At 36.6% G+C, this 12,359-nt stretch overlaps 1 long non-coding RNA gene across 1 annotated transcript in view; it reads right to left on the bottom strand.

Moving 5' to 3' along the window:
* Positions 1-12,359, bottom strand: part of DELEC1 (deleted in esophageal cancer 1) — a 260,827-nt gene that overhangs the window by 92,229 nt on the left and 156,239 nt on the right. Inside the window, exon 4 of the long non-coding RNA NR_163556.2 lies at positions 4,420-4,510. This is a non-coding gene — a long non-coding RNA (deleted in esophageal cancer 1). The remainder of the gene's footprint in view (positions 1-4,419; positions 4,511-12,359) is intronic.

Below are 12,359 nucleotides of genomic sequence, written 5' to 3'. Positions count from 1 at the left end.
GGGTAGGAAGAATCAATATCGTGAAAATGGCCATACTGCCCAAGATAATTTACAGATTCAATGCCATCCCCATCAAGCTACCAATGACTTTCTTCACTGAATTGGAAAAAACTACTTTAAAGTTCATATGGAACCAAAAAAGAGCCCGCATTGCCAAGTCAATCCTAAGCCAAAAGAACAAAGCTGGAGGCATCACACTACCTGACTTCAAACTATACTACAAGGCTACAGTAACCAAAACAGCATGGTACTGGTACCAAAACAGAGATATAAATCAATGGAACAGAACAGAGCCCTCAGAAATAACGCCACATATCTACAACTATCTGATCTTTGACAAACCTGAGAAAAACAAGCAATGGGGAAAGGATTCCCTATTTAATAAATGGTGCTGGGAAAACTGGCTAGCCATATGGAGAAAGCTGAAACTGGATCCCTTCCTTACACCTTATACAAAAAATCAATTCAAGATGGATTAAAGACTTAAATGTTAGACCTAAAACCATAAAAACTGTAGAAGAAAACCTAGGCATTACCATTCAGGACATAGGCATGGGCAAGGACTTCATGTTTAAAACACCAAAAGCAATGGAAACAAAAGACAAAATTGACAAATGGGATCTAATTAAACTAAAGAGCTTCTCCACAGCAAAAGAAACTACCATCAGAGTGAACAGGCAACCTACAAAATGGGAGAAAATTTTCGCAACCTACTCATCTGACAAAGGGCTAATATCCAGAATCTACAATGAATTCAAACAAATTTACAAGAAAAAAACAACCCCATCAAAAAGTGGGCGAAGGACATGAACACACACTTCTCAAAAGAAGACATTTATGCAGCCAAAAAACACACACATGAAAAAATGCTCATCATCACTGGCCATCAGAGAAATGCAAATCAAAACCACAATGAGATACCATCTCACACCAGTTAGAATGGCAATCATTAAAAAGTCAGGAAACAACAGGTGCTGGAGAGGATGTGGAGAGAGAAATAGGAACACTTTTACACTGTTGGTGGGACTGTAAACTAATTCAACCATTGTGGAAGTCAGTGTGGCGATTCCTCAGGGATCTAGAACTAGAAATACCATTTGACCCAGCCATCCCATTACTGGGTATATACCCAAAGGCCTATAAATCATGCTGCTATAAAGACACATGCACAAGTGTGTTTATTGCGGCATTATTCACAATAGCAAAGACTTGGAACCAACCCAAATGTCCAACAATGATAGACTGGATTAAGAAAATGTGGCACATATACACCATGGAATACTATGCAGCCATAAAAAATGATGAGTTCATGTCCTTTGTAGGGACATGGATGAAATTGGAAATCATCATTCTCAGTAAACTATCGCAAGAACAAAAAACCAAACACCGCATATTCTCACTCATAGGTGGGAATTGAACAATGAGGTCACATGGACACAGGAAGGGGAATATCACACTCTGGGGACTGTTGTGGGGTGGGGGGAAGGGGGAGGGATAGCATCGGGAGATATACCTAATGCTAGATGATGAGTTAGTGGGTGCAGTGCACCAGCATGGCACATGTATACATATGTAACTAACCTGCACGATGTGCACATGTACCCTAAAACTTAAAGTATAATTAAAAAAAAAAAAACAAAAAACACACATCACAATTATCTGTTTATATATCCCCCTTAGTCCATTATTTCCTCAAAGCCAATTCTTGTTCAAGTTGACCATGTGTCTCCAGAGACTAGTACCTAATGGGCTTTTAGCAAATTCATGTTGAATGAATATATAGAGTTAATGGTTCACACTAAGCCATTCCCACTGTTTTTTTTTCTGCCTATTTATAACCTATACTATTTACTTTCTAAATACATTAATAGAGTAAGGAGTATATATGTATGTACGTATGTATATGTATATATATACTAGAATAGGACAAAGGACTCCAACCATTGGCCTTAATAGCACCAAGTTCTATTAAACTAAACCAAATAGCCTCCCTTAAAAGCCATCTGGAACTTCCCAGTTCCCTCAGAGAATCCTTGATTGCTACTCAAAGGGCCATTTTGGTGAGAATTGGAGCTTACCCATGAATCTTTTCCAAATACTCATTACTGATTCTGGGATGAGTTTACAGGAGTTCACCAGTGGTCATTAAGTGATTTTTTTTTTTTCAGAATTTTAGGATTTGGAATCATCATCCTGCTCCATGGAAAAATTTAGAGAAAAGTAGATTATGGTTGAAAACATTGGCCAACTGGATGAAAGGAAAATTAGTATATTTAATAAACACTCAGCTTTGTGGTTTCTAGTTGCAATCCATGTTTAATCTTGTATCAAAAAGAGGAAGGCATTAACTCCTTCAAAATTTCACTGAAGCTAGCCTCAGTGCAAAGGTTTAGAGCCACGTTCCATAGGCAGGTTAAAAAATAAGGCCCGAAGATAATGTACGATATTTTTTAAGTACCCGAATAGTAAGATAAATACCACCCACATCTTAAATTTTATTTCCCGTTGAAATTCAGTATATTGTTCTCAAGAAAGAGTACTTTACTGGAATAAGTAAGGGATTTGGCATCCAGAAGATCTGATTTCAAATCCTGTACTTTGCTATTTTCTAGCTGAATTACCTGGCATAGTGTAATTTACTTATCTGAGCCTCATTTTTTTTCTCTCCAATAAAAGGTAAGCAATACTTTTCATAGCATTATGATGAGGAATAACTATAATATGTTAGTGAAGATGATTCACATAATGCTTAGCAAAAAGATGCTCAATAAATATCATTTTCCTTCTAGTTTTTCCTTGGCTTTTGGAGGATTCCTAAAACTAAAAATCTTAGAAGTTTGTGTTGTAGAGAATCCAAATACATACCAATCCATTTACGTACCAATTTATTAAAAATGCAGAGACAAATTTTACAAAGTAACACAACATCATTCGTGTATATCTATCCCTGGATTCCATGGCAAATGTTCTTAGCAGAAGTATAAGATTGTATAGAGTACTTTATATACATGGATTAAGCACCTCTCTAAGAAGCGCTGGTATCTGAACATACGCATGGTAACTAACAAGAGATTATTCACTTTCCAAAGGGATCCTTTACGCAAAACGATTAGCCATATGACTCACTTTAATAATGATTTTCCCAGGTGCCTATAAAATAAGATTTAATTTTCTTAAAAACTACCATTAAGTAACTTTCAGGAATAAACCCCTGTGTGAAACAATATGATACTTTATGAGGTTAACTCAGATAAAGCCTACTGGGTTGGCTAGGTGTCAAAGAAAGCATGCCAGATGATGAGACAAATCCCCGTGATGAAAAGCTCTTAGGTTTCATGTTTAGTGTTATGGAAAGACAGAGTCATACTTTCTACAAGTGCAGCCCTTTACAGGCACCAGTGATAGTGGGTATTAACTCAAAGGATGGTAAAATCATAGTCATCTATTGCTTCTCCTGTGCACCAAGGTTATTACATGTGTGATACGGTTTGGCTGTGTCCCCACCCAAATCTCACCTTGAATTGCAATAATCCCCACATGTCAAGGGTGGGTCCAGGTGAAGATAATGGAATCATGGGGGTGGTTTCCCCCATACTGTTCTCGTGGTAGTGAATAAGTCTCACAAGATCTGATAGTTTTATAAATCAGAGTTTGTTCCCCTGCACAAGCTGTCTTGCCTGTCACCATGTAAGAAATGTCCTTGCTTCTCCTTTGCCTTCCACCGTGATTGTGAGGCCTCCCTAGCCATGTGGAACTGTGAGTCAATTAAACCTCTTTCCTTTATAAATTACCCAGTCTTTGGTATGTCTTCATCAGCAGTATGAGAACAGACTAATACAATGTGTAATTTCCTTAAATTATCCCAACAACAAGATAAGGTAGGTCATATTAACAGTCTATTATTTTTAATATTATCATTTTATGAAGAAGAAAATATTGAGATGTTAAGATCACCCAGTAAATAACTGCCACGGGCTTCACATCCATTCCTGTCCAGCTCCAGTACTCATATTCTCTCATCTAACTGCATTGTATCTCATTGCATCAGGGTAAAACATGGTTAATGCCATGAAACAGTTTAAATACAAGTAATGTAGATGTGCAGATGATGGATATATTATTGCAATTTGGGAATTAAGGAAAAATTCCTAGGGACATGGCATCTGAACTGTGCTAAAAAAAAGAAGGGGAAAATAAAAAAGCACAATTTTAAACTTTCCAAGCCCCAGGAGCAAATTTTAGGTGAGGTCACAAAACCTGAACTTCAACTGGCAAAAATCTAGATTCATTGTCTGAACTTGAGCTCCCAGGGACATCCCAAGACTACCAAATAAAAATTATCATTGTTAAAGGAAACATCAGTTTAGTAACAATTTTACCTGTTGAAGATAAGGGGAAAATGCATCATGTAAACAATACCTTTCTAGCGGCCTTCAATAGCCCTTCAAGTTTTCCCTTTTTCCAGAAAGAGTTGTCTTCTTATTCAGGTACATTGGCAGTAGCATCAAATCTGTGACCAAAGGAAAAATACTGGTCAGGCCTCATTAAGCTGTGATTTCAATTAAATATCATAAAGGAAAAAAGAGAGTTGACAACAAATAGCTTACAGAAACAGGAAACATGCAGCACCAGGCACGCAGCTCGGCCTTCATGCTCTGTCTTATGCTTGGCCAGTGAAACAAACCACAACTTGTTGACAAAGTTGAGGCATGTTGCCTGTCAGAGAGGCCCAGGATAAGGAAGCATCTAAGGCAGTTCAGGAGAGTGCCGATCTTCTCCCAGCTTAAAACACCACCCAGGCCCCCAGGGTATCAGAGAATCAAGCATCAACTTCCTAGCTTGGAGGAACAATAGTCCAATGAAGGACAATTTATTTTCTTTCATTTAAAAAACGCTTTTTAAACCCTCCTTTTTTCTAATGTAAAAGTAAAGAAGGATCAGTAAGAATTATAGGACTAACTAGAAAACGAGGAAACTAAACACAGACAAGAGGAAAAAGAAGAAAGAAGACACCAAAGCATGAGGAGGTGTTTCTTGGACGCAGTGTAAGAAGAAAAAATAAAACATAAATAAGACAGAACAAGAGAAATATAATTTGCATTTCTTGAAAAGAAATCTGTATATGTTAAGCAGAGAGAACTGAGATATAAGGGATATACTAACCAGGAGACATTGTTGAGTTAAACTCCCTTAAGTGCTGGAATGGAGTTAACACAGGTGGCTTTAGGTTCTCCAAACATTGGTGTAGACACAATGTAGCAAAGTGGTCAAGGGTATGTGATTTGGAGTCAGAAAGGAATGGATAAAAATCACCACTTTACCACCTATGCACACTTGAGCAAGTAACTTAAACCCCATTAATCCAAATTTTATTATCTCTAAACTGAGACTAGCACTGCTTATACCATATGATTTTTGCAAATACATAACATCATGTATATAAATAAAGTACTTAGCCCAGTGCCCAACACACAGTTAGCTACCAATCTGATTAATTATAATTAATAAATTATTGTTGTGGAAGGTGAGATATTTCCTTGATTCATCTGGGAATTTCCCTATTAGCCATTGCTAAGATTAGTAAGTTAAATGTGGGAAACCTAGATATTTTTTTCCTTAAAGATCCCATTTACTTCTCTGAGAGAACAATTGGCACCAGCCAATATATATCAAAAAGAAAAACAATTTGTTTTACAATGGGAAAAATGCACACAGGTGATATAATTAGAGCATAGTCTAAGATGAAAAATTTTCTTAAGCTCTAGCATGTACAATAAAAATAGTAGGTGGAATAATCTAGTAGATAATAGTAGTCATCTAATAGACTATAGATTGAAATTATTATAGACTAATAGATTATTAGATTGAAATTGGTAAAAACTGCAATTACTTTTGCACCAACCTAATAGAATGGTCAGAAGAGATATTAACATAAGATCCCCACTCCAAAAAATGTACAATAAAATAAAGTTACAGATGGCAAAAAAATCTTAATTTTAAACATCTTAAGTAAAATCCAAGCATAATAAACTTAACCCTTCACTAAAACAAACAAACAAATATAATGGCCTATTAAAATTCATTAAACATCTTAAGTAAAATCCAAGCATAATAAACCTAACCCTTCACTAAAACTAACAAACAAATATAATGGCCTATTAAAATTCATCAAAAAAGAGGCAGGTATGGTTAACTAGGAAAAAAAATCTATCAAAGTAGGCTAATTCAATATATGAGCAAACTAAAAGAAAAAATAGATTTATCAATAGATACATAAAATTAAGGAATAAAATTCAAAATGAATCCATGACAAAATTCTTAGCAATCTATCAGTAACAAGAAACTTTCTTTAAAAATAAACATCTAGCGAAAAACTACTATAGATATAATAATGAATGATGAAGCTTTAAAAGCATTTCTATTAAAGTCAAGAAAAGAAAATAGTAGAGTCTTTATAATTACTTTTACTAGTCAACTGGATGCCCTAATTACGTAATAAGGCAAGAAAAATAAATGATACTTAAGAATTTAAGCTTATCAGTATATATTTAGAGATCATATATAAGGTCCTCAATATAATAAATCTAAGAAAAACTGACTAAACTAGCAAAGTCACTCTAAGATCTCACAAGGGTGGAAGAATATATACATATCAGTAATAATGCAATATAAGTACAGGCATAAAAGCAAAAAAAGGTGTTTATGAATAAATTTAAAAATACATATATGCAAAAATTTGTATACAAAATTATGAAATAAGCAGCATAAGGGAAACAAAATATATGGAGAGTTGTGCCATTTCCATGAGTGGAGATATTTAAAATCACAAAGCTATTAACTTGATCCAAATCATCAATATATTTAATTAATGAGGTTTCAGATAAAATCTCAACAAGATTTCTCTCTCAGAACTCTACGCACTTATTCTAAACTCCATTTGAATATGCAAACAACAAAGATCAGCAAAGATAATTCTGAGGGGAGGGGAAAAAATGAGCTAGAACTTGACTACCTATCCATGAAAACAGTTTAAAGTCATAAAATTAAAAGAATGATATTGGAGCAGAGAAAAAGTCAAGTTAATGAAATAAAATTTGAAGCCCTTAAATAAGCTGAAACACATATGAGCCTGGTGTATGACAGAGGTGGCATTATAAATCAGTGGGAAGGAAAAAAGTGCAGTAAATGACCTGGTTTCCCATTCGGAACTCACTTTATAGACAAAAATAACTAAATAAAACTGCAAATGGGATTTTTTAATTAGAAGAGAATGTAGGATAACAATTTTTGACTAAGAGATAAAAATCAAATTTCTTAGAAAACTCTCAAACACTAGCAATTTATAGGAAAGCATTGATAAAACCAAGTGCATCAAAATTAAGATTTTCCCCATTACGAAGCACACCATGAAACATACTTAAAAAAATGGCAGGCTTAGAAAATATGTCTGTAACGTGTAAAACAAACACACGTGTAAAACAAACACAGATTATCTTGAATAGGTAGAGAAATTATGTATCAGTTTAAACGAACCAACAATATAACACAGAAGTTGGCAATTGATGGGAACAGGCAATTCAGAAGAGCCAGTGAACATATGAATAGATTATTATCCTCACTAGAAATAAAGGAAATGCAAATTAAAACAACAGTGAAGCATTTTACACCAAATAGTTTGACAAGCATTAAAGAGTCTGTCAATAGCAACTGTTGGTAAAGACATGAGAAAACTGAACTTTCCTACCCTGCTGGTGGGAGTCTAAATTAGTACAATCACTTTGGAGAGCAATTTGACTGTAGATCGTGAAATTGTTAAAATGTGCATGCCCAATGACTTCTCATTCTACTTCAGAGAAATGCCTGCACATAAACCAGAATGTTCATTATAGCAGTGTCTGTTTACAATGAAGAAAAATTGGAAACAATCTTTATGTCCTTCAGTGGAGAAAGAATGAGTAAATAAATTGTAATATATTCATGGAATTTACAATAACAAAAATCAAAATGAATTAATTAGATCTATGTGTAAAGACATGAATGGATATCAAAAATGCAATCTTGAGTAACAAAGGGGAAACAAGTTGTTAAAAACTGTAGTATGAAATAGTTCTGTAAATAGGTAAGAAATAGCAACCATATGTATTATTAGTGGATATATCTCATAATAAACATAGAAAATGGGGGCTGCAATGATACACAATAAAATTCATATTGGTGATTGCCTTTAGAGAAGGGGGAATGATATTAGGGATAAGAGCTTCCATGTTATCTGTAATACTTTAGATTTTTAAAATAAATAAGTTGCATGATGAAATACATTTTTTAAATTATAGTTAGGAGAAGGAGTCCAGGAGAAAAATCTGACACTGCCACTAAAAGGTAAGCAACAGGAGGAAGTGAGATTTGGTGTTTGTTTATTTTTCCATCTGTTCTCATATTATACAAGGCATATAATTACCATTGGTTCTCCTCACACATTTGCTGATTTAGGGATAAAGAGAAATGAAGAGATAAATTAGATATTATCCAAGTTTCCAAGAAGCTCAAAAGACATCAGAGTAGTAGACATAAGATATTACATACATGCACACATGCGCACGCACACACACACACGCACACTATGCATGACCACATCACTAAGTTCCTGCAAACCACAGAGCTTAAGTTATTCAGAGGCTACAGGGAAATCACTTTGTCCCTTCAATCTGAGACCCTTTTGCATGCCTGCTGAATTTTTAAGCTAGCACCATCCAAGGCAAATTGAGACGTCAAATCACCCTACTAGCTTGTCTACCATAGTCTGTCTAAACGTTCTCCATAGCTTTATCTAATCCTTCACTCTGAAAATACTTAAAGAACTTACCAGGCTCTGTACTAGATAAGAGACTACTCCTACTCTCTCTCTCTCTCTCATTCCCCAAAATAGCCCTATGTGGTCAATATTTTAACCTTATTTTATAGTTAAGAAAATTACAATGTACGCAGTTGAAATATCCAAAGTTACAGTTTGTAATTTGTGTAATTGGAATTCAAACTCAGGTTTGAATTACCCCAAAGTTAAGCTCTTTCTGCTGTAAAAGGATCTGGAAATGCAGTTGCTGAATCAGTTTCCTCAGCCACCACTTTATTCAGAGCTGCATCCCAAACACCATAGAAAAATAAAAGATAAATAGGTTTGAGTCCTTGCTGTAGCTCCCAGCTTGGGATCCAGCAGCGGGTTTACCTCATCAGTGATCTAAGAACTCGCTATAGACCAGGAGGTTATAATTAAGCCATCCTACAGTTCCTCCCAGCTGAACAAGCCTGCTGCCTTTCATCTGTGCACATAAGTCTTATATTCCAGGCCTTTACAGTTCCCACCAGATTTCCACATCCCTTTTGGGTTTGGGAGCCAAGAATTGATCACAGCCTTGCAGTGAGAGGAAGACCTGTGCTGTTTCACTCCAGGCAAATGCACTTATGTGTGGTGTAAGGGGATCCTCTTCTTGGTCCAGCCTGGAGATTTCAGTGTAATTAATGCTGTTTGTAGGTTGTAAGAAGTAACACCTAAGCCTCTCTGTTGATGGCCAAGCCATTACTAATTTTTCAGATGTGTTGATGACTTTTCCCCATGTGTCTACATGCCATGTCTGCTGAGCTCATCCATAGCAGGAAGTGGGATCAGTGGAAGTACCAAGAGAGAAGATAAGTAACATGTCCTCCCGGCACATGTGGAAGATAAATGCTCAATTCTTGGATGTGTTCTGTCTACTAAAACTTTAAGTTTAGGGAAGGCCTTTTAAAAAATGCATTTACCACCACACTTGGAACAAAATCACTAACCCTCCATCCCAATGAGCTACAGAAGTGGTTTATTATACAATATCCTGGTGGGAAATCAACCATATGTCTTTGGGAAGGAAAAACATGGCAGGGAGTTGCCTTGGTGCCAATTATGTGAAGGGTAATACTCTTGGCTTTTTCTGCCTGCCCAATCCGTGTGATGAGTGGAGGAAGGGGTGCAGGGACAGAGAAAGTGAGACACACTGTGGATACTGGCATGCATGGTAGTGTCTGTGAAGGCCACACTGGATATTAGATGCCAGCTCATATCTGCAGAGTCAGCAGGAAGGAGCAAGAGCTAGGAGGAAACTGCATTAAGAGATGCTTGAGCTGTAAGAATCCTCAAGGATCTCCTGCTCCAAAGGGCTTGAAACCTGTTGGACAACAGCATCACCTGGGAAACTTTTGAAAATACTGATTCTTGGACTGCACACCAGACTTAGTAAATCAGAGTCTACAGTTGTGTGACCACAGATACATGTTTGGGAGTCTCTCTTCAGTCTAATATTTACTTGCATGATAAAATGAGAAACTAAAGCTAAAGAGGGAGAGTGATTTGCCCATAGTCAGCACAGTTTGTCAGAAGCCATGGAACCTGATTCCAAGCCCAGAAGTTCCTGGTTGAAGTCTCTCTTCTGCTTTCTAAACTCATCATCTCTACCCCCTCCATTGTTCAGGTATCAAGGAATGCCCCCACCCTCACTTCCCGCCCCAACCACCCAATGCTCAAATCAGACTCTTGGGAATTATTCTCACTCTCTTTCATTTTCCATATGCAACCCATGCCCAATCTTGCCAAATTTACCAATTAATATTGATTGCATAGATCCCTTTCCCCTTCTGCACTGCCACTTCCCTAATTCAGCCACCACCATCTCTCATGTGAATTACTGAACTAGCTTCCTAACTAGTATCTCTGCCTCTGGTTTCACCATTCTATTCATCCTCCACCCTGAAACCAAAAAGATATTTGTGAAACATGAATCTGATCTTGTCACTCTGTTGTATAAAACGTTTCAATGGCTTTCAAAGAATGAAGACTTTGATCAGCCTTTCATAACTGACATCTCTTGCTATCCCCCAAGTTTCATCTTATGTCTCCTACAACACAATACTTATTCTATTCTCTTATATGCATCATTCAATTTAATGCCTTCACATTCAAATATATACCACACCTTCATCAAGAAGACTTAAGCTCTTTTGTCCCCTAGGAGAAACCATCCCTAATCCCAATGATCTAAGTTAGGGATTTTTTCCTCTTTGCCTTGGTAACATCCTATGATTTCCTCCATTAAAAACTTTATCAGATAATATTTAGAATATTTTTTGGTAATTGCTCATATCCATCTCTACAGTGTGAAGTTCCTTGGCACCAGAATTAATTCCTGGTTCATATCTACATTTCAAGAACGAAGCAAAGAACCTGGCATTGTGAGTACTTCAAAATATTGGCTGGACCAAACCAAATCCTCTCAAAATAGATTGGTGAACCTAATTCCTAATCACTCTCCATAGGATTGTTCCCTGTGAAATGTGATTTGAGAGGCCCCACTAATCCAACCAATCCTTGGCCACCTGATGTAGTCAGTGCAATCCAGATCTTTTGATCTCCTTAGGTGCCCAGTGCTCTATGAGCTAAATCACAGGTTTATGAGCAATGTCCTGGAGTTGGACACATAATACCTCCCATTTGCCTAGACACTCTCCAGACATGTGATGATTGAATTCTTACAAACACCTTAAGAGGGAGACGTTATTGTGCCTATTTTACATTAAAACAAATGGGCTTAGAGAGACTAGGTCTGAGTCTACACAGCCACTATAGGGTTGAGCTAGGATTCAAATCAGATGTGTGTCTCCAAAGAGAGTACTCTATTAGTTCACCTCTTTGGCTAGTGTATGGCTGGTCATAGAAAAAAATCAGAAAACAAAAGAGAATCTTGACAAGTGAGTCAACAGTTCTCCCATCCTTGAAGAGTCCAAAGAGTTCAGCCTAAAATCTCCAATGAGTTTTCTTTTTTCTGATGCCTGGGTCCTATTGGGAAGATATACAGTAGAGGGAAGGGACACATAAATTTAAGCCAACATATTTCTCTTGCAAGGGTTATCCTACATAGGTCATATAACATCCTAGAAGATTCACCTTAGGTGGGCCATTGGTAATGAAGGATCCCAAGCAGCTCATCTGCTGGGATTACCTTGATCAGCCGCATGCCCATTCAATCATGAAGCAGCCAAACGATCTTTTCCACCACAATCCTTGTGACACACTCTCCAACCTCTCCCTCCACTGTAGGTACTCTCCCCCACACACACCATCCTCCTGTTGCAGAGACTCTCCACACCAAATATATTAATATGATTTGATTTTACAAGTTCCATGTAGTAACCCCAAATTTGTCAATTTCTTGCTTTGTGGACTTCAGTGAGAAAAAGAAAATTAACACTTTGGTTAATGTTTTCCATTTTCCATATGCAAAATTAAAGTACAGATGCTTTCCTGTTTTTTTTTTTGTTTTTTTTTTTTTGTTTTT

This window comes from Homo sapiens, chromosome 9 (assembly GCF_000001405.40).
Source record: "Homo sapiens chromosome 9, GRCh38.p14 Primary Assembly".
Taxonomy (NCBI): domain Eukaryota; kingdom Metazoa; phylum Chordata; class Mammalia; order Primates; family Hominidae; genus Homo; species Homo sapiens.
This window is presented reverse-complemented; position numbering and strand designations above follow the sequence as displayed.